Consider the following 8,788-nt stretch of genomic DNA (forward strand, 5'->3'; position numbering starts at 1 on the left):
CTGACTCCGGACCATTCTCTCCTTGCCTCCCCATTGCAGGACCTGGCAGCTCCATCTTTCCTCTTGCTCAGGCCAAATCTGTTGTCCTTAACTCCTCTTTGAGCCCTGCATCCTGGTCATGCACAACCCCTACTGGCTCCACCTTCAAAATTGATCCCTGATGCAAAGAGTTATCCCCTCTGCTGCTATCAGCCTGGCCCAAGTGACACAAGGCACCTGTTCAGTGACAAATTCTTGGGGTAACATTTTGAAAATTTCAGCACCCATGGCTTTACACCCATCCTTCCCCGTGGGTGTGGCTGCTCTCCAGCTCTCTCATCCTGCTCTCCCCAGGTGCCTCGGCTCCAGGGGGACAAGGTTTTCCCTGGGCTGCTGCCTTCCCTGCTCCCTTCCCAGTCCCCAGAAGGGTGCCGGCCTCAGAGGCCTCCAGAGTAGAGCCTTGCCCACCACAGCAGCTCCAGCTGGAGGAGGTTCCCCCTACTTCCTGCACCTCGACCCCTTAGAGCAGCAGAGGCAGAAGCAGAGGCCTGCTTTGGAAAATGACAGGTTTTTATTGCTATGTTTGCAGTGGCTTTTTAGCACAGTAAGAATGTCCCCGCAGGCCCACCACCCTCACGCAGCCCCAGCCCTCCAGCCTCTGTCCGGGTGTCAGGGAAGCCTTTCTTGGGGTCACTCAGCCGTCTCGGGACTGGACGTGACAGACATACGTGGGTTAAAGCCGCTACACAGAAGACTGGAGGTGCAGGAAGTGCATCCGCCTTGAGCCTGGATGTGGGAGCCGTGTCCGGGGTCCCTTCCCGGGGGTGTGCCCAGCCCAGGGCACAGGGTGGGAAGCCTGAGCAGGCCAGGTTAGCAGCCCAGACACCCAGGATGGAATATTGCAGCCTCTTGCCCCACAGACCTGTGGGCAAAGGGACAGTGTGGGGACAGCCCCGAGGCCCCCACCATGCACTTTTCCAATCCATTCTGGGTCTGGGGACCACACACACACATCCACACAACAGACTCGCACATGCAACAGCTCGAAGCTTTTGTTTTGCCTCTGAAAGTTAGATCTATAAATTCACACTCCTAGGCTAGGGGCAGAGGGGTAAGGTAGGGCTCACAGGAATGGGAGTGGTAAGGAGAGGATGGTTTGGGCTCCTTCCTCTTTTTAGAAATATACAAGCAGAAATCTCATTCTCTCAAGTTTTTATAAAATGTGCAAAATACAAGCCTCCTTTGCCTAGAGGCACCATTTACATCTGGTATTCACCTTTGCTAAGAGATAGAGATCTATATATACTCTACGTGCTCACGCACGCGTGCACTCGCACCCAAGCTCACACAATTGATATTGGTGGTGATTGGCGCAGGAACCAGAAGGTTCCACTGCTGGCTGGCTCTCTAAGCTTCTATAACAGGGATGGGGAGAGGGGTATAGCCCAGCTGAAATATTTGTCTTGGTTCTGCTGCCCCTCCCTTGCCTCCCTTCTCCTCTCTCTCCTCCCTCCCGTCTCTCCCTCCTTCCCTTCCTCACATTTCCCAAGCTGCCACTGCTGCTTCTGGGGTGAGGGGTCACCCAAGGGTGTGCTACAGAGCAGAGCCTGGAGAGGTGGGCAGGGGGTGGGCGTGGCAGGGGCAGGAGGAGTGCAGCACTGTGGGTGGGGGTGGGGCACTAGGCGGGGCCTAGGACCAGCTGGGCTAGGACTGGAGGGGGAGAGGCATCTATTTTTGGTGGGTTGTGATATTTTTGGCGTTTTATTAAAAATGGAAAAAGTTGTTTTAGTGAGCACTCATGGTGCTTTCTCCCCTCCTCTCCCAGGCAGACCCCAAAAGCGTCAGGGAAAGGCAGGCCCCCTGGAGGGGTGGGGTGGGGATGAAGCAGGGGCTGCTATGGCTACCAGAGGTGAGCTGGTGATGTGAGCTGAGCTGTCCCATGACACTCTCCACCACGACGACCTTGCTGCTCTCGGACACTGGGGTCAGGGTGGTCAGGCCCCTGACATCTGCATCCTGAGCTCGGTACTCCAAGTGGTGGAGGCCCCAGATGGTCTGGGTCAGGTGCTTCCAGCACTGCAGGAGAGGACATGTTGAAGCCCCCAGAGTCACCTGCTCATCCCCATGGTGACTTCCTCTGCCTCTCTCCAGCTCCTGCTGCCTGCCACCCTAGTCAGGGCCACTCCTTGGCTAGGAAGCAGGCTGGGTTGAATGTTCATAGCAGGGGAGGGGAGGGCAGGCCGGGAGGGAGCCTTACCTCAGCCATGGTGCCCTTGGCCCTGAGGAGGCAGCCCAGGAGGTGCAGTGGCATGCACAGCATGGAGGACAGCACGAAGGCCCAGCCCATGGCCTCACCCCACCACGGGTACACGTTGGTGTTGTTGTAGACCAGCGGCTCGTAGTACACAACGTTGAAGATGAAGATGCCCTACAGACCAGAATGCCGTGGTTAATGGGGCCCCCACCCCGCCCCGCCCCCCCCACCCCGCCCCACCTCCCCCAGCCCTTACCATGCAAACCAGCGGGGTGAAGAAGGACCAGCACCATTTCATCCAGGGGCAAGGTCGGTACCCGATCATACAGGCAATGTCGTCCGTGAAGCGGTCAGCTCCTGTGGCAAGGCGAGGCGGGAGGGCCAAGCTGGAGACCTGCCTTCCCCGCCACCATGCCCCAGCCCAGCCCTCAGCCATGACCTACCATACACCCAGGCCACCACCACGCACTCCCAAAAGGCCTGCCAGAGCAGGGTGGTGCCGCTGGCTGAGTAGTAGTCAAACAGCTGGAAGACATACATCCCACCCTGGGGGACAGAGCCCAGTCAGGGAGGATGGCAGACGGCCACCAGAGGTCACAGGCAGACCCCCCACCCCACTCACATCAGTCACCATGGAGAGATCAATGACAAAGCGGAGGGCACAACAGAGGGCCACAGAGATCTCCCTTTGGAAACAGAAGTAGTAGGAGGCTGGGAGGAGGTTGAGGAGGCCGGTGATGAAGCCCTCCACACCTACAAACTGTGGCCAGGCCAGCTCAGGCCGAGCCCCGCACCACCCTCCACCCCTTTCCTTGCCCGCAGCCCTCACTCCGCCCCTCTCCTGGCTCCCTGTCCCAGAGCCCCATGCAAATCTGGCTGTCGAGACCAAGCAGCAACAGCATGAAGAAGAACAGGGCAGCCCAGAGTGGGGCCACTGGCATCAGTGTGACAGCCTGTGGGTAGGCGATGAAGGCCAGGCCCGGCCCTGTGGGAAAGGTGCAGGCTCTAGACCTTGCAGCCGATGTCCTGCCCTGCGCGCACCCTGAGCCCTGCCTGCAACACTCACGCCCATGCCCATGCCTGCCTCTGAGGTGCTGTCAACCCTGGGTCATGCAGCAGGGGCTGGGAGGTCCTGTCTCTGTCAACATTGAAAAATCCCAGGACCTGCCCCCACAGGCCCACAATCTGAGAAGTTCTGTTTGAATCCTCATCACTTTTCAGCATTTCTATTGCGTGTTCTTGTACATCATGCATCTGGGTGGCAGTTGCTGCTCTGGCGGCGGGGCTGGGGGTAGGGCCCTACCTGACTCTGCCACCTTGGAGATGTGCATGCCCTGCTCTGCAGCCATGAAGCCCAGGATGGAGAAGACCACGAAGCCAGCAAAGAAGCTGGTCCCACTGTTGATGACAGCCAGGATGATGGCGTCCTGGAGGGGTGGAGGGGCCAGAGTGGATGGGTTAGGCTGCTGGGCAGGGCAGGGCGGGACAGGGCACGGGTGGCAGGGCAGCAGTGCTTACTTGTAGCAGTTGTTGTTGAAGCGGTTGTAGCTGCCCAGGGCTGTGAGGGCCCCCAGGCCAATGGCATAAGAAAAGAAAATCTGGGTCCCCACATCTATCCATACCTAGAGGAGGGCTGGAGAGCGCAGGCATGAGGGGCCTGCAGGGCTCCCCCACAACATCCTGCTGCAGCCTCCCCACCTCCACCTCACCTGAGGGGACCCCAGCTTTGACCAGTCAGGCTTGAGATAGTAAATGATGCTGTCCAGGGTGCCAGGCAGCAGCACTCCAAGCACAAGCAGCACGACCAGGACCACGTAGGGGAATGTAGCAGTGAAGTACACGATCTGGGGGGCCAGGCTGCTCAGCGGGGACTGCGGCACCACCTCCCTCACAAGCCCACTCCGAGCACCTCCGGTCCCCCTTGCGGGCAGGTATGTTCAGAGGTCCCCATTCTCCTCCGAGCCATAGCTCCCGCCAGAGGAAGCTAGGGGCAAGGCTGGGCCCCGGCAGCCCTGGCAAGTGCAGTGGGGAAGCTCTCTGGGCGCCTCGTTTGTCTGCAGGGATGCATGTCAGTGGGGAGCGGGCGGGCCTCTGGGAGCTCTCCTCAGTGGGGACAGGAGGCATGGAGCATGTGGGGAGTGAGAGCTGTGTGAGTGTGTGGGCAGTGCACGCATGGGAGGCCCAGGCAGGGAGCGGGATATTGGATCAGGGCCGGGCCCCCCTCCTCTTCTGGAGAGAGGTCGGGGCTGAGCAGGTGAAGAGTGGAACTGGGCCAGGCAGAGGCAGGCAAGATGCGGCTGCCACACTGTCTGCCCCCTCTTCCCACATGCTGCTCTGGGGACCTTGTCCCCCAGGGAGCTGGCCATGTCCCACAGCTCTGGACATTGTCTTCTTTGTTCAGGTGACTCCCCAGCCTGACCAGGAGCCCCCAAGGGATGTGGCCAGACTCTGCTCTGTGTCCCCAAGGCAAGATAGGCAGGTAACAGATGGCCAGACCAGGTCCAGCAGACTGTCACAAGAGTCAGAGACTGGCAGGAGGGCACCGGTGGGGGTGATGGGCACAGGGAAGGGACAGTGCCTGCTGGGGCCTCTCCCCACAGGAGCAAAGGCTGCTGGGCCCTGGATTTGCAGGGTGGGGAGTGTTGCTTGGCTTTCAGTACCTCCCCCTTCCTTAGGGCTAGACTCTGTCTGGTCACCTCCCGTTGCCACGGGTGTGCCTGGCACAGACATCCAGCTCCCAGGGCTGAGCCACCCTCCCCCCTGCATGCCTCTAGTGGTACCTTTCCCATGGATTTGACCCCCTTTCAGACACAGAAGTAGACCAGCACCCAGCAGGCCAGCAGACAAAGGGTCACCTCCCAGTTGAGGGCCCCTGGCACCTCCAGTCCCCCAGACAGCCTCAAGACTTTGTTCCTAGGGGAGGGAGGGAGGTCCCATGAGGCCTGTGCCAGCAGAGGATGGAGCCACAGGGTCCACCCCCAGGAGTCGTGGCTCCCTTCTCTCCCACAGCCCAGGGTTCAGTGGGCCCTCTTGTCCATCTGGGCTGGGCCTGGAGCCCACGAGCCCCTGGCCTTTGGGAGGCCACTCCCATCCCACCCCACATGCAGCCCCAGCTCCCCCATCAGGCGGGAGTGACCAGGACAGTGATAGGCTGCCGAACCCAGGAGCAAGGCTGACCTGGCGCAGCCCCTGGGGCTGGCCCCAGGACTCTCCGAGGGCAGACAAGGGCAGGCAGGGTCCAGGAGGGACTGCCAAGAAACACCCTGGTCCCCTCTCAGGGCCATTCCCCTGGAGCCGGGCAACATGAGGGAGACCTGGGGGATGGGATGGGCTTGGCCCAGAGGTGCTGGACTCACTCCCAGAACTCGATGACAGGGGACCGGCGGTCAGCAAGCTGGTCACAAGTGAGGTTGGCCAGGCTGGCACTGGCACAGTCTTCATGGCGGAAGATCTCCACACAGTCGGGAGTGTTCCAGGTGTGGCCACATGTGGCCCAGGGCAGCGTGGTGGTAAAGGACTTGACCAGGTAATAGAAGCCCCAGGCCAGCACCATGATGTAGTAGGTGTTGCAGTAGAAGACGATCACCATGGAGGCATAGCCCAGGCCTGGGGCCGGGAAGTCCTTGCCATGTAGATTCTTTCCTGGCCACCTCCCCTGCCACCCCTTTATCTCCCCACCCAGGCTGGCAGTGCTCCCACCGTCTGTCCTTCTGGAGCCTTGTTTGTGGTGCTCCTGACTCCCCTGGACTCCCCCTTGTGTGAGCCCCAACACTGGGCTGACTCCCCAGCCTCTCTCCTCTCCTCCAGCCGCCCCCTAGACCCAAGGCAGAGCGAGCCCCTCTCCTCCTGTCCCCATCTGACCAAGTGCTGTTGAGTCTCCAGCCTTACACACCTGGCCCCTTCTGTGGGTCCCACTGCCACCATGGCGGTTCCAGGAGGTCCAAGCCTCCACCTGGCCACCCAGTAGCTCCAGTCCTCAGCAGCTGGTGGTGGTGGTGGTGGGGAGGGGGGGAGTTTCTAGTAGCCTGAGGTAGTGTTGGAGACAGTTGCCCCCGTAGTGGGCAACCTCAGTACGTCGCTCCACCTGTCTGTGCCCCAGCGTCCTTGGGGACAGTAATAGTAGGACCTACCTAGAGAGCCAAGTGTGCTGGGCAGGTCCCATCCCCAGCCCGGCTATGCCTGGCCTGTCCTTGCCTTGTGGAGCTGCCTATGCCCCCTCTAGTCCCTGCTTCCCCAAGTTCACTGTGCGGCCTGAACATCTCCTCCAGGCTCCCCCCTCGAGACTGGGATGCCATCACGTGGCCCCAGGCCTGGTGCTCAGGACAGGAAAAGATTTCTCAAGTGGGAGCCAGCTGGGAAAAGGGGGCAGTCCCTGAGGCTGGCCAAGGGCTGCTCACCTTTGAACAAGGGACAGATGTTCCAGACATTGATGCTGCCGGCCTTCATGAACTGGCCCAGCGAGATCTCCAAGAAGAAAATGGGGATTCCTCCGACCAGGGCTATCAGGATGCAGGGAATAAGGAACACACCTGGGGGTGGAGGCACAGGGTGGACTCAGGGTGGCCCCCAGCCAGGCTGCCCAGGCCCAGCGGGCCAGCCCAGACTCCAAAGGCCCCATCACAACTTCCCACTGGGTGAGTCAGTGTAGGGGTGGCCACGTAGGGTCTTGAGGGGCTGGGTTCAGTGTGTTGAAGAGGTGCTACAGTAGCCCCTGGGCCATTGAAGTCCTATTCCCTGGGTGGCAGAGAGGCGCTAGGCCCACAGGGCTTCCACCCCCACGGTCACTTGGGGTGATGGCCATGGAGGACACGCACGCTCAGACACGCAGCCTGTCCCTAGTGCCGCAATTCCCTGTTTCAGGCAGCACAGTGAGGGCACGTGCGTGTGTGCATGTGCGCCAAGGCTGGGTGATCAGGCCTGAGGGGCTCATCCAAAGGCAGGGAGCGCGACTGTCCTGCACTTGGACGCTTGCCTGCAAGTGTGAGGTCCAAGGCAGAGGGCGGATGGGTCACAGTCCCCTGCTGGTGGGATGGCCACGTGCAAGGACAGAGGGATACAGGTGCGGGAAGAGGGGCCAGGCCGGCCTTAGCAAGCCCAGGGAGTCAGGCTCTACAGGAGATAGGCAGGGCATGGCACAGGCCCTGGCCAGCAGGCTGGGGTGGGGGTGGCAAAAGGGCAGGGAGAGCTGGGTGCCACTACCCCCTTCTCCTCTCTGGGCCTCCTACCCTTGCCCTGGCTGGGCTCGCTCCACTACTCAGAGGCCGAGCTTGGCTGCAACTTGCCTGACTCCAGGTCCCAGCATCCTTCTCCTAACTTTGGGCAAAGGCCTTTGCTCTGGACCTCTGTTTCCCACCCATCACTGGGTCACTTCGGCTTCCAGAAACCCCAGTGCTGTTTTGTAGTCACAGGACACACGCGTGCCCATCGCTCTTGCTAAGCTGGGCCCGGGCAGGCGGACGGGCATGGGACGTGCATGCAGTGTTTCCAGTGGCGGCGCCAGGCGGGCCAGGCCACAGGCTTCCCAAGCCTGGCTCAGGTACCCAGTGTTCCAGGCCCGGGCCAGAGGGGAGGAGCGGGAGGGCTGCGAGGGGAGGGCAGGGAGAGGGACAGAGTGGCCCATTGTGTGTGTGTGTGTTCGTGTGTGTGCACACGTGGGGGGCCCACACAATGTGCCGCTTGTGTGCCCGACCCGCAGGGGCAGCCAGGGCTCCTTACCTCGAGGAGACCCCAAGGCGCAGGCCTGCTTTCCCACCTCGGCGGCCAATCGCTCCTTCCAGCCCAGGAGTCTGGGGGGCAGCCTCGCGGGCATCGCCGGCCCCCGCCCCTCACCCTGCCAGGCACATGACTGCGAGAGGGGTGGAGGCGGACGGCCCAGCCACCGAGCAGCAGCGGTGGACCAGGGGCGGCCCCGACCCCGCGTGCCCAGGGGCCAACCGCTGCCCGGACTTCACCCCTCCGCGGCGGCTCCGGGGATTGGGGGTCGGGCGTCAGGGGCCGGCGGCCTGCTGGGGGAGGGGGCCGCGGGGGGCGGGGGAGCTCACCTCCGCCATTCTTGTAGCACAGGTAGGGGAAGCGCCACACGTTGCCCAGATCCACGGCGAAGCCCACACACGACATGATGAAGTCCATCTGGCGCGTCCAGGTCTATCGCGCGCGCCGGCACGGCCAGGCCACCGCCGGGTGTCCCCAGGCCCGCGGGGCCGTCGCCCTTGGCCCGGGCCCCGTCAGGCCCGGGCGCGATGAGGGGGCCCTTCTTCTGGTCGCCGGACACGCTACAGATGCCGTTCTCGGCGCTCTTCTTCGCCATGGCCCCTGCGGGCCTCACGGCCGGGCTGGGGTCGCGGCACCCTGCGGGGGGCTGCGGTCAGGCGCGGGGCACCGGCGGCACCGGGGAGGGCCCCGAGGGCGCGGGCCGGCCGGGGGCCGGGGGGCGGCCGGGCCGGGGGACGGGGCGGCGGGAGGGCGGCGGGGTGCGGGTCACAGGCGGCGCAGTCAGAAGCAGTCCACGAAGCACTTGAAAGTGAGCCTGAAGAATCTCCTGTGTGTCAGGGGCCC

General features: G+C 62.4%; 1 pseudogene across 1 annotated transcript; it reads right to left on the bottom strand.

Annotated features, from left to right (window-relative positions):
• Nucleotides 1-521: 521 nt before the first annotated feature.
• Nucleotides 522-8,579, bottom strand: SLC6A10PB (solute carrier family 6 member 8 pseudogene; annotated as a pseudogene). The gene is made up of 14 exons (XR_001756138.3): nucleotides 8,275-8,579; nucleotides 6,631-6,762; nucleotides 5,590-5,839; nucleotides 5,014-5,146; nucleotides 3,943-4,077; nucleotides 3,752-3,855; nucleotides 3,537-3,631; nucleotides 3,109-3,218; nucleotides 2,856-2,996; nucleotides 2,677-2,779; nucleotides 2,490-2,590; nucleotides 2,237-2,407; nucleotides 1,884-2,055; nucleotides 522-901 (listed from the first exon to the last, which is right to left on the bottom strand). The product of XR_001756138.3 is annotated as a solute carrier family 6 member 8 pseudogene, transcript variant X1 (transcript).
• Nucleotides 8,580-8,788: the final 209 nt, after the last annotated feature.

The sequence above is a fragment of the Homo sapiens genome (assembly GCF_000001405.40).
Source record: "Homo sapiens chromosome 16 unlocalized genomic scaffold, GRCh38.p14 Primary Assembly HSCHR16_RANDOM_CTG1".
Taxonomy (NCBI): Eukaryota; Metazoa; Chordata; class Mammalia; order Primates; family Hominidae; genus Homo; species Homo sapiens.